This window comes from Homo sapiens, chromosome 11 (assembly GCF_000001405.40).
Source record: "Homo sapiens chromosome 11, GRCh38.p14 Primary Assembly".
In the NCBI taxonomy this organism is placed as follows: Eukaryota; Metazoa; Chordata; class Mammalia; order Primates; family Hominidae; genus Homo; species Homo sapiens.
In genome coordinates, this window is record NC_000011.10 from 69,962,838 (window position 1) to 69,989,580 (window position 26,743).

At 53.1% G+C, this 26,743-nt stretch overlaps 1 protein-coding gene across 4 annotated transcripts in view, besides 6 other annotated features; it reads left to right on the top strand.

Moving 5' to 3' along the window:
* Nucleotides 1,928-2,711: an enhancer, noted in NCBI's record as "H3K27ac-H3K4me1 hESC enhancer chr11:69810871-69811654 (GRCh37/hg19 assembly coordinates)". NCBI's record gives its function as "activates a minimal SCP1, AML or CMV promoter by ChIP-STARR-seq in naive H9 embryonic stem cells {active_cell/tissue: H9 hESC(naive)}" and the evidence as "EXISTENCE:reporter gene assay evidence [ECO:0000049][PMID:30033119]".
* Nucleotides 3,160-26,743, top strand: part of ANO1 (anoctamin 1) — a 223,534-nt gene continuing 199,950 nt past the window's right edge. For 3 of the 4 annotated variants that reach the window (NM_001378092.1, XM_047427181.1, XM_047427184.1), the window contains exon 1: nt 23,070-23,329. In NM_001378092.1, coding sequence (NP_001365021.1) covers nt 23,272-23,329 — 58 coding nt within the window. In that variant the 5' untranslated portion in view covers nt 23,070-23,271. Of the gene's footprint in view, nt 3,809-23,069; nt 23,330-26,743 lie in introns of those variants that run through there. The other variant, XM_047427185.1, reaches the window with a different exon arrangement.
* Nucleotides 3,496-4,279: an enhancer, noted in NCBI's record as "H3K27ac-H3K4me1 hESC enhancer chr11:69812439-69813222 (GRCh37/hg19 assembly coordinates)". NCBI's record gives its function as "activates a minimal SCP1, AML or CMV promoter by ChIP-STARR-seq in primed H9 embryonic stem cells {active_cell/tissue: H9 hESC(primed)}" and the evidence as "EXISTENCE:reporter gene assay evidence [ECO:0000049][PMID:30033119]".
* Nucleotides 14,594-15,093: an enhancer, noted in NCBI's record as "H3K4me1 hESC enhancer chr11:69823537-69824036 (GRCh37/hg19 assembly coordinates)". NCBI's record gives its function as "activates a minimal SCP1, AML or CMV promoter by ChIP-STARR-seq in primed H9 embryonic stem cells {active_cell/tissue: H9 hESC(primed)}" and the evidence as "EXISTENCE:reporter gene assay evidence [ECO:0000049][PMID:30033119]".
* Nucleotides 18,333-19,055: an enhancer, noted in NCBI's record as "H3K4me1 hESC enhancer chr11:69827276-69827998 (GRCh37/hg19 assembly coordinates)". NCBI's record gives its function as "activates a minimal SCP1, AML or CMV promoter by ChIP-STARR-seq in primed H9 embryonic stem cells {active_cell/tissue: H9 hESC(primed)}" and the evidence as "EXISTENCE:reporter gene assay evidence [ECO:0000049][PMID:30033119]".
* Nucleotides 19,056-19,778: an enhancer, noted in NCBI's record as "H3K4me1 hESC enhancer chr11:69827999-69828721 (GRCh37/hg19 assembly coordinates)". NCBI's record gives its function as "activates a minimal SCP1, AML or CMV promoter by ChIP-STARR-seq in primed H9 embryonic stem cells {active_cell/tissue: H9 hESC(primed)}" and the evidence as "EXISTENCE:reporter gene assay evidence [ECO:0000049][PMID:30033119]".
* Nucleotides 23,246-24,063: an enhancer, noted in NCBI's record as "H3K27ac-H3K4me1 hESC enhancer chr11:69832189-69833006 (GRCh37/hg19 assembly coordinates)". NCBI's record gives its function as "activates a minimal SCP1, AML or CMV promoter by ChIP-STARR-seq in naive H9 embryonic stem cells {active_cell/tissue: H9 hESC(naive)}" and the evidence as "EXISTENCE:reporter gene assay evidence [ECO:0000049][PMID:30033119]".

Sequence of the window (26,743 nt, forward strand, 5' to 3'; positions counted from 1 at the left end):
CTCCTCTACGTAATGAGCTCTGTCCAGGGTGCATGGTAAGTGGCAAGCCCTGAGCCTGATGGTCTTACTCTCGCTTGCCCTGCCCGGGTTGTGCATTCCCTAAACACCACAAAACCCCAGGGACACCTTCCATCCCTGAGCCCTGCTCTGCTCTGAGACACTCAGCTTGGCTTTATAAAATCTGTGTAAACTGGCCAGCCATGGTGGCTCACGCCTGTAATCCCAGCACTTTGGAAGACCAAGGCAGGTGGATCGCTTGACCCTAGGAGATCCAGACCAGCCTGGGTGGCATAGTGAGACCGCATCTCTATAAAGAATTTTAAAAATTAGCCAAGTGTCATGGCGCACTCCTGTAGTCCCAGCTACTGGGGAGGCTGAGGTGGGAAGACCCCTTGAGCTCAGCAGATTGAGGCTGCAGGGAGCTATGATGGCCCCACTGCACTCCAGGCTGGGAAAGAGCAAGACCCTGTCTCAAAAGAAGAAGAGGAAGAGGAAGAGGAGGAAGAAGACGATGAGGAAGAAGAAGGAGGAGGAGGAAGAGGAAGAAGAAGGAGGAGGAGGAAGAATAAGAAGAAGGAGAAGGAGGAGGAGGAGGGGGAAGGGGGGAGGGGGAAGGGGGGAGGGGGAGGGAAAAATCTGTGTAAGTTACCTATACATTGCACCAAAAAAAAAAAAAAAAAAAAACCCCACAAGGCTCTTCTGACACCTGATCTGGTTCTGCAAAATCCTCCAGGTCCTGGGATCTGGGTCCTTTGCTTCCCCAGTGCAGGCAGCACCCCCCGCTGCGTGCATGAAAAATGCACTAAAAGCCCATCAGACCCTTGGAACTCCATCCAAATGGGGGGCCTGAAGCCTGGGCAGCACGCACACTCCCACTGCCTGGCCAACAAGGACACAGAATTAATCGTTTCTCACAAAGTCAAAGGCAAAGAGGCCTCTGCAAGCGATAGGTTGGCTCTGTGACCAAATAAGGCAATATTACATTTCACTGTTTATAGCAGACCCTGGACAGGGCAGCTTGGAAGGCACTGGGAAGAAATGCAGTTCTCACTGGGGCTCCATTCCCAACATCCAATAACTCTGTCCAAGGCCAGTTATAATTTCTTTACAGAAACAACCATGTGTCACTTTTTAAATACACACTAAAACCCGAGAGGTGACCCAGTCTCAGCCCCAGGCCGTCGGTTCCCTTGAGTGGCAGCACCTGGCTTTGAACTTCCACATTCATGATTTAAAGGTGGGGAGAGCCCCTGAAAATTTATTTCAGGGCTTGAGTGAAAACAGAGGCATTTCTTAAAGGGCAAATTTCAGAGCTCCATTTGTGAGGTGCCTTTTTCTCCCCTGAGAATTTATTGCAAACTTTCTTTTGCAAATAAGACCTGTTGCTGCTGCAGCTAATAGCCTTGGGCAACATTTCTGTCCCGACAGTATTTATAAAATGAGAGACACAGTTGGCAGGGTGGAGTTTTAGTAATTGGTATTAATAATAAGACAAGTGTAAATGTTTAAAACCCATTAGGAGGCTTTAAATGCTAAACAAAGCTTCAACTTGCTGGCATTTGCACCCTGGATGGGGCCTAGCCTAACCTCCAGCTAAGAAAATTCTAAGGGGATTTCTAGCAGCTCCAGCAAAACTCTGTACTGTCTGCATAGACCACATTTACAGAGCCGCGGTGAGGGCATAGATTTACAAAATGGAACAGCATCAATCTTACCTTCAAAATAGGATTTTTACCTGTCCGGTGAGACCCCGGGCACTTCCTCAGGCACTGCATGAGGTTGGGAACTGCGTCTACTTTGATCCCTTCTCTCCATACCCGGACACCCTTTCCAGAACCCGTGGGTGCTCAGCAGAGGTTTTCTCTGAAAAGGAGAATGGACGAATGAGGGAATGAGTGAAATGTATTATTGCATCTTTTGCCAATGACAGCTTCTAATTTACCTTCCTCGAATCTCTGAGGTCATGTAGGATGGATCCGCAGTGGCTGAGGTAGCCAAGCAGAATAAAATTCTTGAGCCCAGAGTGGACCTCTGGGGAGGCCAGCAGCAAATGTGTCCTCAGCTGTTCTGCCTGCTACCCCCTGGCAGTCACCCTTCCAGCTGAGAGCTGCCCCCAGCCCCTGGAGGGGTCTCCCACCTCCTCTCTCACGGCCCCACCAGATGTGCACAGCTTCCCCACCAGGTGAGCAGCATGTGTGCAGGGTGACCGTGCTGTCACCGCCGTCACTGCTGCTAGGGCTCTGCCATCCCTGAGTCTGTGATGATGGTGACTGTCAGGCAGAACAAGTGGCCCATGGGGACAATGAAGGGCACAGCCCCTTGGCCACACCTAGCTACTGCTGCCTTAAACCCACCGCCCGAAAGAAGGGCAATGTACCTTCCCAGATGACCAATAATACCAGGGACCCAGTGTGACTTTTTTTTTTTTTTTTTGAGATGGAGTTTCGCTCTTTTCACCCAGGCTGGAGTGCAGTGGCAGCATCTCCACTCACTGCAACCTCCACCTCCCAGGTTCAAGTGATTCCTACCTCAGCCTCCCCAGTAGCTGGGATTACAGGCACGCACTACCACAACTGGTCAACTTTGCATTTTTGGTAGAGACGGGATTTCACCATGTTGGTCAGGCTGGTCTCAAACCTCAGGTGATCCCCCAGCGTCGGCCTCTCAAAGTGCTGGGATTACAGGTGTGAGCCACTGCGCCCAGCCCCCAGTGTGACTTCTTAAAGGAGCACATCACTGGACGTGAGACCCACCCGGGGCAAGCCTCTGGCCTGCACAGACCTTGGGCATCATCATTCATCCAACAGAAATTCACCCAGTACCGGCCACGTGCTGACCATCAGCAAGCAAACCAGGCCAGGATTCCTGGCCTGCTGGACACAACCCCATGACATGAAAATCAGCCAACATTTTTTGAGCACCTACTGTGTGCTGGGACCCCATGCTCAGCATTCTACTCTCGTTACCTCATTTAATCCTCAAGACAGCCCTGCAAAGCATGTGCAGCTGTGACCCCCGTGTATCCGTTGAGGAAACAGAGACCCCAAGGAAAGAAAGAACTTGCCCTGACGTGTTTTCTTCCTCGCTCCTAACCAGCTCTGCTGCTACACACAGCCCCTCCCGGGGCCCTACCCCAGGCCCCTCCCCAGGCCCCTCCCCAGGCCCTGCCACGCTGCTTCATGAGATGGAGATATACAGCTCCTCAGGGCAGGGTTGGTGAGAATATCCAAAAAAAAAGGAGGTTAAGCACCTGACACTGCTTGGGAAACAAAGGAGGCACTCAGGGTGGCCCCGCAATGGAAGTCGCTGCTCAGGGGGTTAATGCAGGCTGTGAAACAGGGCCACCTGCAACCGTGGCTTTTCAAAGCTGAAGCCATACCCTGGAGGGAGAGAGGATCCTTGGGCACTGACCCTGGCTGTCCACAGCTAAATGATCATGGGACACCCATGACCATGGGCGTGGCTGGAGGAGGCCCTGCCCTCAGGGGTCTATTGGCATCCAGGGGAAGTGTCTACGGGGTAATGATTAACCCACACCTGCCACCTGGTTTTCAGCCTTCTTGCCCTGCTGACTCATTTTGCAAATCCCACTTGCAAAATTTGGGAGCAGCCTGGGTCCAGCCCCCGCCACGCCACCTCACCTGAGATTCCAGCAGTGGAGGTGCTGCGTCGCCGGGTGGGGTGGCCCTGGCATTCGGACCTGCCACTGGGAAGCCCGAGGCCGGCATGTGGGAGGCGAGTGGGATGGAGGAAAGAGCGATGGAAGAGCTGGCGATGGAGGAGACAGCGCTGGACCCTCTGCTGGCAGGTAAGGATGGGGTTGGGGCGTTGGGGTGAGAGGCAGGGGACAAGGAGAGCATCACTTGCTGTCAACCCTGCCTAGGCAGAACACCCAGCCTGCCCCCTGGGACCCTGCAGAGAGCATGGGGAGGACCCAGAGAGCAGACTTCTAAGCAGTGTCCCACCCTGCCCAGTTGATTGAGGGCAAGAGAGGTGCCCCCAAGGTGGGCAGGGCCTGACAGTGGGTGAGTTGATGCAAGCACCTTCTAGGGTGGCAAACAACCCCTCCTGAGAACAATGATCACAAACCCTAGAGCTGCTCAGCCTCAGTACTGGTGACCCTGCAGGGGGACAATTCTTCATCTTAGGGGTGTTCTGGGCACTGGGAAATGTTTACAGCATCCCTGGCCTCCACGCAGTAGAGGCCAGTGCACCCCTACCCTCTGTTGTGACAACCTAAAAATGTCTCCAGACATTGCCCAATGTCCCCTGAGGGCACAGTCCACCAGCTCCCTGGAGAACCACACGCTGTCTGTATCGCACGTTAGCTAGCATCAGGCTCTGAGCGCCCGTATCGCACGTTAGCTAGCATCAGGCTCCGAGCGCCCGTATCACACGTTAGCTAGCATCAGGTTCCGAGCGCCTGTATTGCACGTTAGCTAGCATCAGGCTCCGAGCGCCTGTATCGCACATTAGCTAGCATCAGGCTCTGAGCGCCGGTATCGCACGTTAGCTAGCATCAGGCTCTGAGCGTAGCCTTCAGCCATGATGCACCTGAGCTTCATCAGGTCCTAGGAGGTTGGTCCGATGCTGGTGGTGACTCAAGGCTTTGGGGCCAGGCCCCCGCATTCCATCTCAGACTTCTTCTTCATGAGCTGGGCCACCCAGAGCCAGTTGCCTGGCCTGTCTCTGCCTTAGTTTACCCATCAGTAAGCGGGGCTGATAATGCCATCCACCCCAGAGGACTCTGGAGTAGGGAAAGTGCATAAATGAAAACATGTCAAGGGCTCTGAGCACAGGGCCTGGCACCTGCTAAATGCTGTCACGGCCCCCGTTTACACAAGAGTAAAGCTGAGGCCTGGAGAAATCCAGTCACCTGCCCGAGGGCCACACAACTGGTCCGGTGAGGGCTGTGAGTAACCCTGGATGTCCCTCTGCAGAGTCTTCTGTGCAGAGAAAGGAGACATTGAAAAGAGGGGCTGAGAATTCAGAGTCCTAGCCCGAGGCCTGCCCTGTTCTACCTGTGTGGCCTTGGGTAGTTCACTCCCCTCTCTGGGCCTGGGTCCCTGTTGGATGAGAGATTCCATTTTCAGCAACACTCATGGAGTGGCTGCTGGGCCTGCTGTGTCTCGCATTGATCTTGTCTTACAGGGACTCCTGCTCAGTGGAGGTGGGGTGTCTGAGGGCCTTCCTGGCATCAGGGGTGGGCAGGGAGACTTTGGGGTCCACTATATCTATCCGACCAGCCCCATCCTTCATCCCAAGGTTTATCGAGTGAATGAATGAATGGATGAGCAAGTGAGGAAGCTGACCACCTTCCCCTGGCCCTGTGGGAACTCGGGAACACTGGCTGGAACGTCCTCTCCTGTAGTACAAAGCAGGAGGAGGAGGCCATTCTTGGTGCCTCCCTGAGAGAGGCCTGAGCCAGGGGTGGTGGTGGGTGGGGAGCTGCCTTCCCAGAGACCCCTTGGGCCAAAGCAGGAACGACCCCCAGGGATGACCCTCTGCCTCTGGGGCCCTCTGGCCTCCTTTGGAAGCAAGTTCCAAAGGCAGAGGCAGACAGGGTGAGCATTTGCAAAAATGAGCAAATTCGCTGGAAAAGAACGGATTTTTATTTTTGGTTTGTTCTCGACGTGTCGGAGAGTCAAGACAGAGGGAGGAGGAATGTGAATTAAGCAATAAAATGTTTACCAAGGAGCCCTCGAATGACTCCGGCGTGCTGCCAAAGTTCTGTGATCCCTGAACTGAGATTGTTCGAGGACCCGTTTCTTCCTCGGTGGCCCCCGATGGCCCTGCTGAGATGCAGGGATGCGGTGGCATCGCTCTGTCATTCCTCAGGCAGGGTCCCTTCCCAGCTGGTCTGAGCCACTCACACCTAGAGGGCATGAGCACTTGGACCTCCAAGGGCAGAGGGGGCTCAGAGGCCAGCCTCCACCTCTCTTTCGTGGACAGGATTTCTGTCCAGGAGCAGCAGGGAATGGTACTCTTATGCCAACTACACAGCCCGCGGACTTTGGACCTAGCCTTCAGTATGTGCTGGCAGCACAGGGTTGTCCCTTGAGGGAGCCCTGGCAGGACCCTTTGTTGCACTGTTGGAAGCTGCACCCTCCAGTCTTCACTCCTTTGTCACTAACCTCTAGGTTCTCAGAGCCTGGATTACAGCTCCAGCCTCTCCAGAGAGGAGCAGTTAGATATGTGGCAGTCAGTCACACTCTAGTGTAAATGAAGCCAGCCGTGGTCTTTCTTGGTGGCTGCTGCCTGAATGGAAGTGGGATCCCCTTCAGGATGTTAGACAGCCACGGGACTGCAAGGGCTGCAGGGCCACGGGAGGGTCCCTCATAGGGGCCGGGGTGCACAGCTGCCGGTGGAAAGCCGTGCCCCTTCTCCTGCTGTCCCCAAAGCCCCAGGGAATCTCCTTCGGAGCCATGGGTAGCCTTCCTCCTAGGGCAGAGGCTGAGAAGGGTGGTAGGAGAACTACATGATCTGGTCTGAGGTGTGGCTGGATCCTGGTGCTGGGACTGACCTGGGGCAAATCTGGGGAGTCTCTCTGCACTCAGCTCTCTCTTCTGGAAAAATGGGAATGAGACTCCTGGAAGGACTGGAGTCAAGCGGCTGTGCTTTCTCTGGTGATGTTCACGGTCTGACGCTGGAGATGGAAGAGGCTTCTATCTCTGGCTACTGCCCCCGTCTCTCTTTAGACTAGGAACCTGAGCATCCAGCTCTCCTGGGAAAGTGCATCTCTCCTGCCAAGAGAAGTTGTGAAATGCGGCTGCCGGGTCGCAGGGTAAAGAGAAAGAGGCAGTCTGGGAGCCTCAAGAGACCCGGATGCGGCCAGGCACGGTGGCTCACACCTGTAATCCCAGCACTTTGGGAGGCCGAGGCGGGTGGATCACAAGGTCAGGAGTTCGAGAACAGCCTGGCCAATATGGTGAAACCCCGTCTTTACTAAAAATACAAAAATTAGCCAGGCGTGGTGGTGGGCACCTGTAGTCCCAGCTACTTAGGAGGCTGAGGCAGGAGAATCGCTTGAACCTGGGGGGCAGAGGTTGCAGTGAGCTGAGATCATGCCACTGCACTCCAGCCTGGACAACAGAGTGAGACTCATCTCAAAAAACAAACAAACAAACAAAACGAAAGAGAGACCTGGATGCAGGAGCATGGCCAGGATGAACTGTGTCCCTCCCCATCAATCAGAAAGGGGGTTCCCCGGTGTGAGAGGGGAATTGCCATGCAATTGCAGGGGTGAGGGTGACGTGTTCTCAGAGCTTCAGAGAGAATCCCTGCTAACAGGAAATGCAGACAAACAGGAAGAGAGGAAGGGGAGGGCAAAGGAGGGAAGGCTGGGGGAAGTTCTTTCTCCCGAGGAGACCCCAAAGAGGTGAGGCTCCACATCAGAAGCCCGAGCAGAACCCCGCGGCCACAGTGCGCACGGCTGCAGAGAGCCCAGGCACTGTGCTTCGGTCCCAGCCCCAGCCTTGGCCTCAAGGGAAGGGTTTTCTCAGACCCACGGGGAACAGCAGCCCCCGGAGCCCAGAGCTGAGCTGACAGCACCGTGGTGTTCACTTTCCAAGTGCCACCAGCCCCATCGATCAGTCCTCCTGGGAATGTCATGTTAGGAAAGGTTCGTGAACTGTGGTCCCGACCAGCACGCGGGAGGCAGGGGCTGTTTGCTTTAGCAACAACTTCACACAGGTCTGAAGCGAAATGTTTACATAAGGGGAACTCTGTGACCTCGGGAAGGTCACTCCCCTTCTCTGGGGCTGTTTTTTCATGTCTGTCATGATAAGGGAGGAGTTCAAATGTGGCCTCGCAGGGAGTGGGGACCCAGGGAAGGCCTCCATTGATTCTGCAGTGAGAGGCAGAAATGCCACCTTTAAAAGGGTGGAAGTTAATTTCTCTAACAGAAAACAAGTCAAGAGGTGGGCATTCCAGGATCCCAAGGCTGGTAGGGGCCTCATGCAGTCATCGGACACCCTGTGTTCTCTCAGGCCGCCCTCCCATGCTCAGCACGGATATCCACCTTGTGGCCCAAGATGGCTGCTTGGGCTCAAGTCATCACATATGCGTTCCAGCCAGCAGGAAACAGAAAGGGCAAAGAGAGGCACTCTCCCTTCTTGGAAGCTGCCCCCTGGCCTGAACTTAGTCCATGGCCACACCTGGCTGCAGAGAACAGGACATGCAGTTTTTGTTCTGGGTTGTCACATGTCAGGTAAAAACTAGGCAATCTCTTACTGAGAAAAAGGCCAAGAATAAATATTGGGGGTGGGGAGGAGAACTGTCAGTCTGTGACACAGGTTCAGGACAGAATTCCTAGTCCCTGTGCTGGGGGGGCACCAACTAGCTGGAGACCTGGGGTTTCACTTCTTCCCTCTGAGTCTCAGTTTCCTCATCTGTAAAAGGGGAGAGTTGGTCCCCATGGTCTCTGGGTCCTCTCCAGCCTAGACCACGTGTGATTCTATGTTCCACACAATTTGCCTCATGGAGCTTTCTAGATTTGAAGCTCTGCTAGGACAGAGAGTTTTGTGTGTTCTGTTCTCTGCTGTATCCTAGAACTGTGCCTGGCACGTGGTCTGTGTGTTTGCTGAGCAGCTGAATGATGGCTGGTGTTTTAACAGGTTGAATTTGTATAGAGGCCACTTGCTTTTGCTCTCTTCTTTAAAAAAGAGAAACTTCTAAAAAGTTTCTAAGAAAAAAACTTTTCATTTTTTCTTTTTCTTTTTACTCCTCCTCCTCCTCCCTTCCTTCTTGTTTGTTTTGTTTTTGTTTTTTAGATACTCAGACTTTTCCTCACTGGCTGCCTCCCTGTCTTCCTTCCCAGACCATGGACTGGGGCTGTCGGAGGAGGCCAAGTGAGAGAATCAAAGCTCACCCTCACTTTCAGAGCTCCAGGCCCGGGGAGGCCTGTGGCTAATGCTGGATGAGCTTTGACACCCAGTAGGGGTGTCCTCCCCGTGTGTTTATGTAACTCTCACCTTCACGACTGCCGGAAAGGTGACTCTTATCCCATCCTTACCTACTTTGCAGAGAACAAAACAGACACTGACTGCTTCAGTCTGTGAGATGACAGAAATGACTCCCATTGCAAAGAAAAGTGAAAGCGAGGCTGGGCGCGGTGGCTCACACCTGTAATCTCAGCACTTTGAGAGGCCCAGGCGGGTGGATCCCTTGAGGTCAAAAGTTTGAGACCAGCCTGCCCAATATGGCGAAACCCCGGCTCTACTAAAAAAATAAATAAATAAATAATACAAAAATTAGCCGGAAATCGCTTGAACCCAGGAGGCAGAGGTTGTAGTGAGCCAAGATCATGCTACTGCACTCTAGCCTTCATGACAGAGCAAGACTCCGTCTCAAAAAAAAAAAAAAAAAAAAAAAGTGAAGGTGAAATCAGAGAAACCAGTATGCCAGGGCATTGACCAACAGGCTACTGTTGAAAATGCCGGCGTTATCTCAGCCTAAAATGTACAGTATGAGCCGTGTGTGGCTAGACTGTCTTTGAAATGAGTGCCCAGTCACTCGAGGACACACTTTTCAGTCCTGAAAGTCAGGAGTGCCACTGCAAACACACAAGCAGCCGGCATCAACTCAATGATGAGACAACCGCCTTGCAGACAATGCAACGCCTCGTTTCCTGGGAGGGGTGTACAGGCACGCACCTGCTGTGTACGTATTTCCTTTGAAAACTGTAAAGTGCTATAATTAACATGATATGTATCGTCTTCCTGGAGCTGTGAAACAATTCATGACCCACTGGGTTTTGTTGTTAGTGCTTTCACTGTATTTTGATAAGACGGTCCTGTGTAAAGACGCTGTATCAACATTTGCCTGGAGACGTAGTTCACAACCCTAAGAAGACTCAGGTCCTTACCCTGACAGCACGCCTCAGAGAGTTCGGCATGTTGTAAGGCAACAGCCAGCTGCACTCAGGGCCTCTGCGTGGTCGAGATGTTCTTCCCCAGATGCCTGCAGATCTACCTGCCGGCCTCCATTCAGGCCTCTACACACACCCATACTCAGTGGGACCCTCCCTGGCCTGGCCCCTATCTGGCATTTTTTTTTCTTTTTACTTTTCTTTTTCTTTCTTTTTTTTTTGAGACAGAGTTTCGCTCTTGTTGCCCAGGCTGGAGTGCAATGACAAGATCTCAGCCCACTGCAACCTCCACCTCCCGGGTTCAAGCAATTCTCCTGCCTCAGCCTCCTGAGTAGCTAGAATTACAGGCGTGTGCCACCACACCCAGATAATTTTTGTATTTTTAGTAGAGATGGGGTTTTCCATGTTGGTCAGGCTGGTCTTGAACTCCTGACCTCAGGTGATCCACCCACCTCAGCCTCCCAAGGTGCTGGGATTACAGGCGTGAGCCACCGCGCCCAGCTCTGGCATCTCACTCTGTCCCCTCACCCTGCTTCATTTTTCTTCAAAACTCCCTCGTGATCTGGCATGATATATTTGCTTATTCTCTTTCTCCCCCATAAAAATATAATTTTCTTAAAAGCAGAGACTTTTTCAAAAAATCACTGTATCCTCAGCACTTCGACCTGCGTCCGAGGGATCGGAGGTGCTCCAGGAAATGCTGATTGGCTGACATCTTCCACTTTTCTAAATATTTTCCACTGGCCCTGAAAGACTCTATTAAACAGGAAAAATGCTTTGGCTCCTCCTGTCTCGGGCTCTAGGGAGTTATCCTTGCTAGGCGGTGCGAGGCATCATAGAGCATCTTCTACTTTATTGCAGGCCTTTAGATTCCTTCTGGTTCCTTAGCCGGGCGCGGTGGCTCATGTCTGTAATCCCCGCACTTTGGGAGGCCGAAGCGGGTGGATCACAAGGTCAGGAGTTCAAGACCAACCTGGCCAACATGGTGAAACCCCATCTCTACTAAAAATACAAAAATTAGCCGGGCGTGGTGGTGCGTGCCTGTAATCCCAGCTACTCGGGAGGCTAAGGCAGGAGAATGGCTTGAACCCGGGAGGTGGAGGTTGCAGTGAGTCGAGATCATGCCACTGCACTCCAGCCTGAGTGACAGAGCAAGACTCCGTCTAAAAAAAAAAAAAATTGGATTCCTTCTGGTTTCAAAAAGGTTGTAAGATAGCTTACCAACATATTTTTAATTCCTCAAAAAATAAGACAATCTGGAAGTTCACAGGAAAAAATGAGGCACAGGGAAGATAGGGTTCAGAAAGTCAGATATTAAAAATAATATTTAAGGCCAGGCACAGTGGTTCATACCTGTAATTCCAGCACTTTGAGAGGCCGAGGTGGGTGGATCACCTGAGGACAGGAGTTCGAGACCAGCCTGGCCAACATGGTGAAACTCCATCTCTACTAAAAATACAAAAATTAGCCAGGTGTGGTGGTGGGCACCTGTAATCCCAGCTACTCGGGAGGCTGAGGTGGGAGAAACGCTTGAACCTGGGAAGCAGAGGAAGCAGAGGAAGTGAGCCAAGATCATGCCACTGCACTCCAGCCTGGAAGACAGAGCCAGGCTCTGTCTCAAAATAATAACAATAATAACAATATTTAATTAACACTTAGAGATGGTTACTATGGGCAAGACACAGGCTGTTCCACCTGGTTTTGGTCACATGTTCTCCATGACAAACCTTGGGCTAGGTACTATCATGAACGACCGCTTTACAGATGAGGAAACTGAGGCACAGAAAGGAAAGGGCGTCTGCCCAAGACGGCTGAGCTGGTTCAAGGTGTGCAGCAGTAGTCTCTTGGCCAGCAGAACCTCATGCTCTTGGCCCTGACCCCTGGACCCAGGGATGGGGGACCCACCTGTGGATGACCTGGAGCCCTAAGCACCTGCTCAGTGTACCTCCCCACATTGTCTCTGAGCCTCCCAGCAGCCAGTTCTAGGAGAGAAACACAAGCTGTTCTACAATTTATGGTGCCTGTGAAATCTGGCCACACCTGTGGCTCAGAAGGAAGATGCCAAGACCAGCAGCCTTCCGGGCAGGAGAGCTCTGCTCTCTGTGGATCAGGATTCCTGGCTGCAAGCAACAGGATCGGAGTCCGGTTCTTATCTGAAAAAGACTAGGATGCCTCCGTCTCTAAAAAAAAAAAAAAAAAAAAGAAGAGATTAGGACACACACACAGAGGAATGACCATGTGGGGACACAGGGAGAAGGTGGCCGTCTGCAAAAAGACTAAACTGCCCTGAGAGGCAGCTACGGAGGCAGCCTGGGAGGGGCTGGAGCTGGAGGGGCTGGCGTCCCACCCCACGCTGCTGCAGGACAACCCCACAACCGCACGTGGCTACCATGGCCACTGACGGCACCAAGGGAATCCTAACCTGCTCTCTCCGGGTCAGAGGCTGAGCCTCTCACAGGTGCACCCGACAGGCCAAGCCTGGGTCCCATGTCCATGTTGTCCAGTTGGCCCAGCTGCCAGGGAGATGGAGCAGTGGCCTCCCTACCCCCTCCCCACAGTGGGCTCTGTACCCATCAATCTGACACCAGTGGGGGATCCCCCAGATGGAAGGAGAGTTTGGTGCTGGACAGCCCCCCTCCCCAAAATGGCAAATGCCTACTACGCCCTCCCTGTGAGTCCCCAGAGGAGAGCTGCCCGTGGACCCACTAACAGCCACAGGCTCTCACTGTCTTTGAAGCGGGGGATGAGGGAGCTGGCACCTATCTGTACAAAGGAGGATTCTAAACTGAGGGAGCTGAGCAAGCCCCTGAGGACCACCCCTGGAGCCCCCTTCAGGGGTGATTTGGGCTCCTTCTAGCACAGAAGCTTGTGGGCAGTTGGGGTGCCAGAGGGACACCCCCTCACTTGGTCCTAGGAAATGTGCAAACCATCCTTATGGGGTTTATCCCTCCCTCCACTGGCAGCTGTGGGACTCTGGCTCCGGGATCCGCTCTCCAGGACAAACTTCCACAAAGCAGCCCCCTGGTCTTGAAACCAGAGCTCACCAGCCAGCGAAACCTGTCACCACCTGGCAGGTAGTATAACCCACATTTTAGCGCAGCTGGTCCAGAATCCCATTGACTGGTAGGAGCACGGCAGTTGAACTTTGCATGATTTTGTTTTGGTTGATGGTGTTGCACACATAGGTGGGGACAAAACACTCATGTACCATGCTGTGTTGAGACCCTCGGTGCCCCCAGCCCTGCCCTTGGCCTTGCTGTCCTCTGCGCCCTGGGGTGCGGGAAGGACTGGCCCTTAGGGACCGTGCCCGCCTGTCCCCACCATGCTCTGGGCCTTGGATGCACTGCTGGTTGCCCTTCACCTGGGCCGTGTCTCTGTAAATGGTCCTTTTAATAAATCCTGTCATGAGTTGAAATCTGTCCCCTTACATTCCTGTTAAAGGCCTAACCTCCAGGACCTCAGCATGCAACTGTATCAAGTTAAAATGAGGCTGTTAGGTGGGTTCTAATTCAGTCTGACTGGCCCCTTCTAAGAAGGCTCACGCCTGTAATCCCAGCACTTTGGGAGGCCAGGGCGGGCGGATCATGAGGTCAGGAGTTCGAGACCATCCTGGCTAACACGGTGAAACCCCGTCTACTAAAAATACAAAAAATTAGCGGTGCACGGTGGTGGGCGCCTGTAGTCGCAGCTACTCGGGAGGCTGAGGCAGGAGAATGGCGTGAACCCGGGAGGCGGAGCTCGCAGTGAGCCGAGATAGCGCCACTACAGTCCAGCCTGGGCGAAAGAGCAAAACTCCGTCTCTAAAAAAAAAAAAAAAAAAAAAAAAAAAAAAAAAAAAAAAAAAAAAAAGAGAGAGAGAGAGAGATTAGGACACACACACAGAGGAATAGAGGAATGATCATGTGGGGACACAGGGAGAAGGTGGCCATCTGCAAGCCAAGGAGAGAGGCCTCAGGAGGAACCAGCCCTGCGACGCCTTGATCTTGAACTCCAACTTCCAGCCTCTAAGACAATGTCTATGGTTTCAGCCACTCTATCTGTAGCATCTGCTATGGCAGCTGGATAAGAGGAATGCAGAGCCCCTGCAGAGAGAGTCACCTTGGCTGCCAGGCCCTGACCGGCCCGGGCCATGACAATTACATGACGGCTAAGAATATCAGGGGCTTGAAATGGGTCAGGCCTGGTGTTTGCCGGGTCCCTGGCAGGGGTGAACGTCATGTTCATCCCCCCGGGAGATGGCTGCTCCAGGGGCTGCTGTTAATCCTGGAAGATGGATGAGAATTCTGCTGAGGGTCTCGCAGTGAGTGATGAGGCCAGCCCCAGGCGGTCTGATGCACACTCACTCTCTTCTGCTTCTCTAAGCGTGAGGGAGCTCATCTTGCAGAGCAGGGAGGCGGCCAACCAGCTTGCCAGAAATGGTGTGAAGTCCTTTAGGGTGAAATTAAAAGAGGGGGGGACAGGTGTAGCCCCCCAGGTGTCACCCAAGTTGTCATACCAACCCTGGCTTGCGTGACCCTAGCGAGTCCGGTTCTGTGTGCACGGTCAGTCAGAAGGTTCCAGTCCATCCCCAGTGGTCCCAGCCACCACACTCAAAGACCACGGAAGTAGTCCATATGCTGTAAGCACTCAGATGTTCTAAACCATGAAACGTGGTCACGAATGGACAAGTCCCACCCACAACCCCAAGCTCCCTGCTTGCAGCGAGGGCCTGAGCACCTGGGCGTGCTGCCGACAGAGCAGTGGGCTGACAGATCCTGGTGTGAGTGGGTGGGGGGCAGGGTGACCCTTTCAAAATGAGATGGCCCCCAGCCCTCCCAGCCTGCAGAGCTGACAATGAGCAACCATCAGCCATGGTGGAAGTGTGGCCCTTAGGTCTGAGGACTGGGCATTGCCTGGCTCCTTCCCTGAGTGAGAGATCCAATGCGTCCTAAGGGGGACAGTGCCCATCCCTGCCAGGGTGGCCTGGGGACACGGACTTACCCTCTGATTTCAAGGACAATGCAGCCAGCTCCTCACCAGGGGAGTCCCCCAGATGACTGCAGCCCCGAGGCTTTGTGTGCTGAGACCCAGCGCTCTGAAGACAGGGGCAGAGGCTGTGGCTGCTCTGAGCACTTTGGAGTGATCTGAGGTCGGGTTTAGCTTCTCCTTCTCAGATTCCCTTCAGATGTCTGGGAATGAATTATCTCCCCTCTCCAAAGCGGGGTTTTGTGAATGGTCCTCTCTTGAGGGGCTGTCATTTGCATACTGTGGCTGAGAGGGGGTCAAGGAAAGCTTCCCAAAGGGACACTTGAGGAGGGTTTCTGAGAGCAGAGGCGGGGCCGGTGTCCCCAGGGCAGCTTGGCCCGGTGTTTTCTTTCCCTGGGAACTGGCATCCCCTAAACCCACATTAAACCAGAGGCCGGGACCCTGGGGACAAACGCTGCTCCCTGTGCAAAGAACCCACGTAACTCTGAGCTGTGCTGTCCTGGTTTCTGGAAGGGGGTGGCATTTGGAGCCACTCCGTGGGCCTTTTCACCAGGCTGCCACCTCGGGTCCGACGAAAACAGCAAGTGTTTTTGTTGGCAGAGCACCTCCGAGAGGGCCCAGCCCTAGAAGCGGATGGACTGGGTGCCTGCAGGCTACCTTCTGTGTTTTTTCTTGTTTTTTGGTTTTTGGTTTTCTTGAGACAGGCCTCACTCCCGGTAGTGCAGGCTGGAGTGCAGTGGCACGATCTTGGCTCACTACAGCCTTGACCTCCAGGGCTCAGGTGATCCTCCTAGCTCAGCCTCCCAGGTAGCTGGGACTACAGGTGTGCGCCAACACACCCAGCTAATTTTTGCATTGTTTTTAGAGGCAGGGTCTTGCCATGTTTCCCAGGCTGGTCTCCAAATCCTGACCTTAAGCAATCCTTCTACCCTGGCCTCCCAAAGTGCTGGGATTACACGTGTAAGCTACCGCACCCTGCCCAGGCCTCCTTCTTGATTGTCCTATTTGTAAACTAATCTCCATGTGAGGTGTCCCCTCTCTTGAGTCATTCTCCCATGGACTCCTAGATGGAAGCCTAATCTCTCTATTCAGGACGAATTGAATTATTCCTGCAACCATGTGAGGAGAAAACCCCTCAAGTGTGTTCAATTACAGAAAGCACTTTCTATATGAAGCTACCATCCTCAAATAATGACTTACAAGCCTATTTAGAGTTCGTAATCTCAACTCTGTCTTATTGCCAAGAGTCTTGGCATTGGTGCTATTTATGCTGAAACAACCAGGCTGTGTTTTCTTTGATCATATATTGAGTGTAAATATTTGCACCATTAATTAGAGTCAGTTTAATTCCAAAAACTCGAGCGATGCGGGCAACCTCTAATGGTAAACAGGCCTCTAGATGTTAGTCATACCTGCAAGATTCCATGCTGAGAGGCCTCCCTTGAGCCTTTCACCTGTCTCAGCCCTACAAACAAACAAAGGTTGAAGAGAGGCCAAGGGTCCGGAGACAGATTTTGAACGTAGTGAATGACAGGGACTAAAGATGAGCTTTTTCCTATTATTTCCATACCCTTCTTTTTGCTCCTGGTAATAACATTTTGCAACTGGTGTATTGAGTTCACCCATGCCAATTCCAAATTCCAGAGAGATAAGCAGAAGGTTGGCATGGTGCTCTGGAAAGAGCTTTGGAGTTGACTAGAAATCTCTAGAATCAGTTGGACCCGGATTTTAATCCAAATTCTGCCGCTTACCAGCTGCATGGACTTGAGCAAGCCATTCTTCCTCTCTGCGTCAGTTTCCTGAGCTATAAATGGGGACAATAATTCATACTTCATACGAATGAGACAACAGAGATAAAAATAATAAAGTGGATATTTAATTCTAGCTGTATGGCATTGCCCAGGCTCTCTGAGCCTGGGGACTCCTCCCTACATCTTAAAAGGAAGATATCAAGTATGCGGGACTCAGGGTCAGCTCACAAAGCCTGCGTAACACACAGAAGCAATCCTCATTCTTCCTTTTCCTCCAAATGCAGCAGCCCAGCCATGAGTGTCCTGCAAAACACTTTTAGGGGCAAAGGGAGCCAACGTGAAGTGGCACAAGAACTTGGCCAACAGGAGAATTGCAACACGTGGTGAGAACGTAGTTCACTTGCCCTTCTCTTTCTGTCTTTCGGGGATGTCATGGAGAAAGTCTCAGCTTGGTGCCAGGAGGTCCATCATGCCTCCATAGCACACCCGTCTCCCTGGCCAACTGTGCCGTGCCGTGGTTCAGGGCCTCCCCAGGGTATCCCAGGGAATTGAATAACATTAGCTCATTTTTATGGTGCTTTATGAAACTTCCGTTCATGGCCAGTGCTTCTTCCTCTCCACTTTCAGTAGTGATATTGGGTTCTTTAAAAATAAAGTTCGATAAGCCCTAAAAAGGGAGGAAATTTTGTCACAGGCTACAACATGGGTGAACCTTGAGGACATTACACCCACTGAAAGAGGCCAGTCCCAAAAAGATAAACACCACATGTTCCAATTCATCTGAGGTCCCTAGAGCAGCCACATTCACAGAGACAGAAACTAGAATGGTGGTGCCAGCGCTGGGGTTAGGGAAGTGGGGAATGGGAGTGAGCATTCCACGGGTGCAGAGCTTAGGTTTTGGAAGATAAAAAAGTTGTAGGGGCCAGGCATGGTGGCTCACACCTGTAATCCCAGCACTTTGGGAGGTCAAGGCGGGTGGGTCATGAGGTCAGATCGAGACCATCCTGGCTAACACGGTGAAACCCCGTCTCTACTAAAAAATACAAAAAATTAGCCGGGCGTGGTGGTGGGCGCCTGTAGTCCCAGCTACTTGGGAGGCTGAGGCAGGAGAATGGCGTGAACCCAGGAGGCAGAGCTTGCAGTGAGCTGAGATTATACCACTGCACTCCAGCCTGGGTGACAGAGTAAGACTGTCTCAAAAAAAAAACAAAAAACTGTAGAGATTGATGGCTGTGAGGATTGCATAACAATGTGAGTGGTCTTAATGCCACTGAGCCGCACACTTAAAAATGGTGAAAATGATCAACTTTATGTCATGCACATTTTATCACAATTAAAAAATAAAGTATGGGCTGGGCACGGTGGCTCACGCCTGTAATCCCAGCACTTTGGGAGGCCAAGGCGGGCAGATCACAAGGTCAAGAGATCGAGACCATCCTGGCCAACATGGTGAAACCCCGTCTCTACTAAAAATATAAAAATTAGCTGGGTGTGGTGGCACATGCCTGTAATCCCAGCTACTTGGGAGGCTGAGGCAGGAGAATCGCTTGAACCCGGGAGGTGGAGGTTGCAGTGAGCCAAGGTCATGTCATTGCACTCCAGCCTGGTGACAGGAGCGAGACTCCTTTACAAAAAAATAAAAAATCAAAAATAAATAAAGAGTGACCTAGTGAGCTGGGTTAAAGAAAAATATGAAGGCAGTTATGGCACAGGAAGACCATGAATCTGGCTCAAACCAGGGACATGGAGCTTGGAAGACTGGCATTTTGGGAAACGCTGTGTTTCTACCTTACGGTAGCAGAGCACAAACTCTGGAGCTGGGCTGCTTATGTGCAAGCCCCACTCTCCCACTTACTGCTGTGTGACCTTGGGCAAGTCACTTCACCTCTCTGAGCCTCTGATTCCTTATCTGTAAAGTAGGAATGATAGGAGCACGTACTACGTAGACTTGCTGCACGGATTCGATGAGCCGATATTTATTAAGCGCTTGGAACGGGGCCTGGCACACAATAAGTGCTCTCTAAGTGTTTGTTAAATAAACAGACTTGCCTAAGGAGAAGCCCAGGCAGAGATCTTGCCTCTTCTGTCCAAGGGCCCCTCTGCAAGTTTAGCCTGCTTCAGCTGCAGGTCCTCTGTATCAGAGCGGAGGACTGTCACTCCAGCAACAGCGCTTTGCTGCTGGGAGCCCCTGGTATCAGTGGTGAGCAGCTGCCTCGGAGGCTGGGCTGACAGCAGCTGCCTCCAGCCCTCCTCTCCCGCTAGCCCTGCGCAGCCACTGAGCTCTCTGCCCAGCCCCACCCCAGCCCCTGCAGGCGCCTTTGTGGGCTCTCTCTAGTCCCTTCCAAAGACCCTTTGGAAACAGTCCAAATGGCTATCCAAGAAGAAATGGATAAACAAATTGTAGTACACCCAGACCATGGAATATTATTCAGCCATAAAAAGAAATGCGATTCTGATACATGCTATAATGTGGAGCAAACTCCAAACATAATGAAAGAAGCCAGACACGAAAGACCATGTAATGTATGATTCCATTTATATGAAATGTCCAGAATGGATAAATCCATAGAGACAGAAGGCAGGCCAATGGTTGCCAGGGACTGGGGGAGGGGGGAGATGGGGAGTGACTGCTAGCGGGTTCGAGCTGTACTCTGCGGGAATGGGAATATTCTGGATAGAAATGTGGGTGCTCAACACTGTGAATGCACTAAATGCCACCGAGTTGAACACTTAAAAATGATCAATTTTATCTTATGTGAATGTCACCCCAGTGAATTGTTTAATTACAATAAGACCCCCTTAACCCTGTTGAGTATAGCCACCAGGGGCCCCCGTTACTCGCCAGATGCCCCACCTGAACCTGCTACACTGGGCTGCTCCCATCCCTGTCTGGGTGCCCACTTCTCCACCTTGGTGCTTCCACCCAGCCTCTGCCAGAACCCCCTAAAAGTCACCGTCCACCTTGAAAAACCCACCCACTCTCCGGTTGCCCCAGGGCAGGGGCCACCAAGAGCTCCAATCGGCTCTTCTGGGAGCAGCCTCCACCTGCATTTCAGTGTTCTACCATGTTTCCCTGTCTGACTAGGATGAATATGATGCAAATAATAATGCCCTCTAATCCCTACAGCATGTCAGGTTTTGGGCTGGAAGCTGAATTCTTGTCCTATCCCTACAGAATTCCAACCTGTTGCCAAGACCCATTTTACAGATGCACAAACCCGGGTGCTGAGAAGAAGCTTGTTCCAGACGGGACTGACTCTGTTAGGCTGCAGAGGCCATAGGCCCGGCTTCTGCACCAGCTTGCTCACTCCTCCAGGCTGGAGGCTGGACCTGGAGGGCTGGGGCTTTGTTTTGCTCCCTTTGCGCCTCCCATTCCCCTTCCAACCTGAGAAAGGGCTCTACCCATGGCAGGCATTCAAAGAGCCAAGCCGAACTGAAAACAGACTTCCTGAGATCATGCGAAATCAGCATTTAAATGACCTGTGGCCTTGTATGTGTTCTGATGATGAGTGACAGTGGGGGCAGGGTGTACGTGACAATCTATCCTGTCCTGAGTCATCTGAGGGTCCAGAGAAGGTCAATGAGGAAAGGAGAAATGCACAGAGGGAGGCGTGATTGCAGGTGGTGCGCCTGTGGGCCGAGTCAGCTCTGAGCTGACATCTGCTGAGACCCAGCAGCATTGGGGAGCAGAGGAGACCTGCATGATGGTGCTGGTGGCCTTGATGAAACCACAGCAAGATCAGAGTCCCTGCAAGTCCCCAGCATCTGATCATGCTCCGGCTTGGGGTAGGTCTGTGCCTACCCCCAAGCCAGGCCCAAGGCCTCACCCTACGAAACCTATTTTAAACCCCGCCCAATTCAGGGGATGAGTACCAGTGCTGGCCTCACCAAGAGCTGCCTTCTCTCCCTCCCTCGCCGCCTCGCCAAAAAGGGAAACCATTTTTCTGTAATTACAAGCATTGTGCTGTGTGATTACTGTATTCCGTAATGACGGCTGTGTGTTGTAATGACAGGCACGCCACCTCCCCGAGCCAGTGCACTGGCCCCACTCTGCTGTTGACATAAATATCTTCCTGCCATGCCCAGGGTGTCGGGGAGGCCCTCAGCTTCAGAGGGTCTGCAGCGTGGGGTTCCCCAGAAAATAAGCAGGGTGCTCCGGGTGCTCCTCTTCCAGGCCACCCTCTCCTGCGGGCCACATGGGCAGCCCAGCCTTCCCCAGCCTGGCATCACTATCACGTGATGCCACTTACCAAAATAGCAGCCGAGAGCAATCTTTTTAAAAATGAGCTGGTTCAGGTATTTACTAAAATATCACTTTTAAACGTCTGGGTCTTCGACTGGCATTTTTGCATATGTTGGCCACAGCTGAAGGGTTTCATCCGAACGCAACTTAATTGGAGCCAAGAAAATGAAAAGAAGAAAAAGCGGCTTCAATCGGAATGAATCAACATCTATTAATGGCTGTTTAACATATTTCTGCTAATAATCATGCATTAAATAATGTGTGCATTTTAAATCTGGCTAAATATACAATAGTCCATCCCTGCCCCAAAAAGGTAAATAATGACAGTTAAAAATAGTCCCAGGACGTATTTACATTTTTTTTTCCCCCTGAGCCTTTTTGGTTTATAGTTCATCATTCCAAGGGTAAGAATTCTAAAATTTTCTCTGTGTATTTACATAACTGAGCAATTGCCATGTATCACATTGGCTATCAGACCCTTCCAAGAAAAATGAGTTTTTATCTCGACTTCTGCACAATGGTCAGATGGAAAAGTTCTGTGAAATGAATGTAGCCCCTGCAAGGGTCCAGGAAGGCTCTGATTTCCATCCATCCTCTTTTGCCCTCCTGGGGCACACGTCCCGGGGCTTCTTGGCATGCTCTCCTGAGGGTGAGCCTGCCGCCCACGGAGAATAAAATCCCACTTGAGTGCCTGTGTGGGATTTTGAGTCCGGACTGAAACGAGATCATTTCTGAGTCCGGACTGAAACGAGATCATTGCTAAGGAAAATGGCAGGTCACCTTTCTTTCAGACTCAATGCGAGGAAGGAATCTTGCCTCTCGTCTCCTTTTACAGTACAGCGCTGAGGTGGGGGCGGGGAAGGAGACCCGGCAGGAAACATGTCTTTGTGGGTTTGCCGCTTCAAGAGCAAGCGCTTTCCTCCTGGGGCAGTGTCCTCAGGTACCAATCCCAGCAGGCCTGGTGGGGAGGAGGACAGCTCCTCCTCCATCCAGATGCCTTCCGCGGGGATGTGGTCTGTCCTCCAGGGGTAGCCGGGTCTGTCTCCCTCAGGGCCCAGCCAAAGCTGGGCACTAGGTGAAGTGTTACCTTGGCAAGTGATCCAAGGGTCCCTGGCATGGGCTGGTCCTCAGCACCAAACCAGCTCCTCCCTTGGGGTGCAGAAGTTGTCAGATGACCTTTCAAAAGATGAGGCGGCTGCCCTGTCCCCCACGGCCTCTCCTGTGGTCACGGAGCCACTTAGCATTCTGTTTATGGTAGTTCTGCCTGAGAATTTATGGTATTTATCTGGAGATGTCAGGGGTGTGAGGTTTGTGGGTACACAAGGAGGCGCCGGCACTGCAGTTCCCCACGCCCGCCCTCCGTAGGGCCCACATTGCTGCTGTCTCTGAGGATGCTGAATTGTCCAGACCTTGGTTTCTAAACCCCACAGGGCTGGAGAGGGGCAATCCCGGCTTCCTGCCCTGAGCCCATGAGGCGGGGAAGAGGAAGGGTCGGGGACAGGCTGTGCATCAGAGTCCCTGCCTCGTCCCTGGATGCACCCCCGGGTCCAGTCCTCTTAGCCGCAGTTAACTGGAATCTTCACATAACAGGACATTCCCCCACTTTGAAACCCTTCTCACTTTATCCAGATTTCTACATTCTGCACAGGCTGTGGCTTGCGGGAGGGAACCCGGGGAGGGGAGGGGGGTGGGCAGAGGCGAATTTCTGGATTCAAGTTCAGGACCCCAGTGACCTGTAACCTCCAGCTCTCCTTTCCATCCCTGGGCTTCAGCCTCCTCGTGTGACAAATTGACAGTGATTCGTCGGGGTCCTGCCGCCTGGGGGAGGGGGCCAGGGCGCTCTTCTGATGCGGGAACCAGGGCCACTCACGGAACCGCCCCGCGCCCAGGGCTGCGCCCGTCTCTCGGGGGCTGGCTCAAGGCCCCCTCCTGTAGTCAACACCCCTTCCCTGGGGCCCTGGCTGGGGGTGCACCTCGCAGGGCCGCTCGGGGCCCCACTGCCCGCCCCAACTGATAAGACGGTCTGGGAGCGGTGGAGACGCGCCCCGCGCAGCGGGAGGCCGGGGGCGGGCCGGGACCTGGGGACCAGCCGCTGCTCCTCTGCAGCGTCCCGCGCCGCTCGCTGGGAGTCCGGGGAGCGCGGGGCGGGGCGAGGGCGGTGTCCGCAGGTAACCCCCGGGGGGTGGGGAGGTCTGCCCGGGACCCCCAGACCAAAAAGCCGAGGGGGAGGAGCGGCGCGGCCGTGAGCGAGGGCAGCCAAGTTTGGCTACAGCACGCGCGGCTTCGCTCCTGCCTCTGGGGAGGAGAGAGGGGACAGTCCCCTCCCGAGCTAGGCTCGGACCTTGGCCCCCAGAGCCGCCGCAGACCTCCAGGGGTGACTTCGTCGCTCCCTAGTCTGGACTCGCTAGGTCCCGGGTGCACCGGAGTCGCGCAGCGAACGCGCCATGCAGGAGGGCGACATCGGCCTGGAGGGGCTGCCCCCCAGGGAAGTCCCCACAGTCGGTGAGTATCCAGGGCGGCACGGGGGGTGAGGGACCGCGAGCGCGGCCGCAGTGGATCTGGGACGCCCCAGGGGCAGTGGCTTGCGGAGGACTCAGGGGCGCACGAGGAGCAGGAGGCAGGGACCCCCACCTCTGGTGGCGGGGACAGTCCTCCCCCCTCCGCGCTGCTCCCGGTGAAGGCGAGAGGGGAGGGACTGTGTCGGTCACAGGTCGCTGGGGCACTGACAGACAAACAGACGACAGACAGAGCCCCGGGGCTGGGCTGGGGCTGGGGGCGCCGCCGGGCAGGGGCCCCTGCGCGGCCCCTGGGGAGACATCTGCTAGGCCGGCCCAGGCTGTTCCCAATCCCGGGGGAGCGTCTTGCAGCGGATACGAGGTTTTCGGATGTTTTTACAGGCGCTATTAATACACATAATATTTCCGTGCTATTCTGGAGATTTATTTGTGATATAAAGTCACTACTATGACTCGAAATCATAATGGAAACTGAGAGGAACTTAGAGAGCCGGAGACAAATGAGGCCTGGACGCTAGGCCGGAGGGGGAGTCCCTGACTTCCTCCCCCCTGGCTGCACATAAATCACCACCCAGGATATTTTTGTACCAATAATTTTAAAATAAATGACCCAAGCCCTGTTTCCTGGATGATTCTCCCCTCCCAGTTCAGAGGTTATTAAATAAACCTAAGAGTGGGATAGTGACAAGGGGGCCGCAGTGTGCAGTGGGTTTTATTTAATTACACGCTGAGCTCTGCCCTTCTGAAGCCCTGGTTAGGAGGCAGTGCCCTGCAATCAGGATGCCACCGCCAACCCGGGACTGCTAACTATAGCATGGGAAGCCCTCCTTTTATTCTTCCCCCCTCCCTCCCCCGACTTTTCTTCTTTTCGAATTCCCATGGAGAAACTTATTCTGATGCGTGCCTTTCAAACAGCCGGGTCTGGCTTCTTTCTAGAAGTGACACTGTATACTCATCAAATTAAAGGCCCAGAAGAAAGAGAAAGGGGCCCCTCCAGCCAGAGCAGGCAAAAAACCTGGGCGCTGAAGTGGGCCACCAGGGCCTACTCTTGTGCGGCCAGGCTGTCCTGCCTTCCTGAGCGGCTTCCTCAAGCTCACGTGTAGAAATGATCCGTTCTGTGATCCACTGGAAACACAGCCCCAGCTCACTGTGTATGACCAGCCCACCAAGCTTCAGGCACTGATTCAAATGCTTCACACATTTATCCTCAGTGCTACCCTGTAAAGGGGTGTATAATCCTCCCCATTGTGCAGACAAAGAAACTGAGGCCACACAGCCAGTAACTGATGGCACCAAGATTAGAACGGAGGCCTGTTGTCCCGGGGCTACCTGAGGGGCTGAGGCAGGAGGATCGCTTGAGCCCGCAGTGTGCCTAGATCTTGCCACTGCACTCCAGCCTGGGTAACAGAGCAAGACCATGTCTCAAAAAAAAAAAAAAAAAAAAAAAAAAAAAAAAGACTAGAACCCAGGGTGTCTGAGTCCAGTTGCTGTGAGGCCACTGCCTCTCCCTTTCCCCACCCCAGGCAGAATCACCCAGCAATGCTTCTAGGACATCTTGAGGAAACCGTTCCCTGTGCATGAGGGTGTACTCTGGAGGCCTGTGCTTTGGTCTTTATAGGCTTTACATTTGGGCATGGGTCATGTCTCAGATGTGAGGACCTGGAGTGTTCCTTACTGGAGGATTCAGCTCATCAGATCTGAGCTGTAATCATGGATGGATGACGGCCACAGCCTCCACTCCCGGAGAGCAGGCCTTTCCTGTCCACCCCGCTGCACCTCGGCTGTGTGTGGGGTGGAATCGTGCCCCCTGCTGTGGGTAGCAGCCGTGTCAGGAGTAAGACCCCAGGACGGGTGTCCCAGCCTCGGTTCTTGGGTTTGCTGCCAGATGCACCATTCCACCGCAGTAGGCATGAAGAAATTCCATGGGAAGCCTCACAGCACCACGCCACTTTCGCTCTGTCCATGTCATTTACACCTGGAGGCCGTCAGTGGCTTCGCCCGTAAATAGGAAATTTAAAAAGCCACAGAGTTGGAGAACAGAAAGAGGTCTGGGTTCCCACTTTTTCCTGCCACCGGCACCCAGACCCAGAGAGAGGAAGCACTTATCTTGTGAAGTACAGAGAGCCCCAATTCTAGAGCCAGCCTCCCAGGTCTCAATCCCAGCTTTGCCGCCTGCAGCCCTGTGCCCTCGGCCAACTTACTTAACCACTCTATGCCTTATCTGTAAAGTCCGGAGGGTGGCTGTGAAAAGGACTTGAGTTCATAGCCTTTCCAAAGTGCCTGGCTCTGTTCTGTGCATGAGTGAGGATTATCATCATTGTCATCAATGTCATCACTGCAAGCTTCATCCATATGACCCAGGTGTGAAGTCACACCGAGTGCTCTGTGACTGATCCTATAACCTGCTCATTCTCGCTCCCCTGCAAAACCACAAGCCCACTCTCCCAGGGAGCAATTGATTGGTACAGATGCCCCCTCCCATTCTGCCTACTTAGCAGCTCCTTAGTTATTCTTTAATAAGCTACTTATTTATACGCTTGTGGTCTGAACCTCCCACAAGGGCAGGTGGAGTTAGGGTGAGGTCTGCGGCATCCCTCCACTGGGACATGTCTGCCCAACTCACTCCTGCACAACCCTCAAAACTCAGCTGGTATATCCCCTTCTCTTGGAAATCAACCCACATGCCTCTCTGCACTAATAGTATCCTGGGCACCAAGTGAAGGAGGGAGGGAATGAGGAAGGAAGGAATGAGGAAGGAAGGAAAGAAGGAAGGAAGGAAGGAAATAGACAGGGAAGGAGGGAAGTAGGGAGGGAGGTAGGGAGGGACGGAGGGAGGGAGGGAAGGAAGGTGATGTTAGCTAATGTTGGTTGAGCAGGTGACTGCGTGCCAGTCACCCATGGAAGCCCTGGTACCTGCATCATCATGTACAATCCCCACTCACTGTATGAGGTGGGTCCCATTGTTTCCCCCCATTTATGTTGAGGAAACTATGGCACAGAGAGATTATTTAAGGTCCTGTAGCTGGTAAGTGGCAGAGGCAGGATTTGAACTCCAAGCAAGCAAGCTGTTCATTTAATCATGGTGCTATCTTACCATTCAGGGAGGATAGAAAGAGTTGTCCCTCCTGAAGCTTTCACCCACAGAGCTATTGAGCACCTACTCTGTGCCATTGAGTGGGTGGTGTGGGAAAACACCTGAAAGAGATGGGGGAAGAACATTCCAGGCAGAAGGAACAGCCAGTGCAGAAGCCCCAGCACGTGCGTCTTCTTCTTGAGTGTGCTGGATGGATTCCAGAACCAGCCAGGAGAGGGAGGGAAAGAGGGAGCAGGAGGGGCAACCCAAGAGGTATGGAAGGTGTGGAGCCAGTGTGGGGGTCTCCAGGGCCACTGGAACCATGGG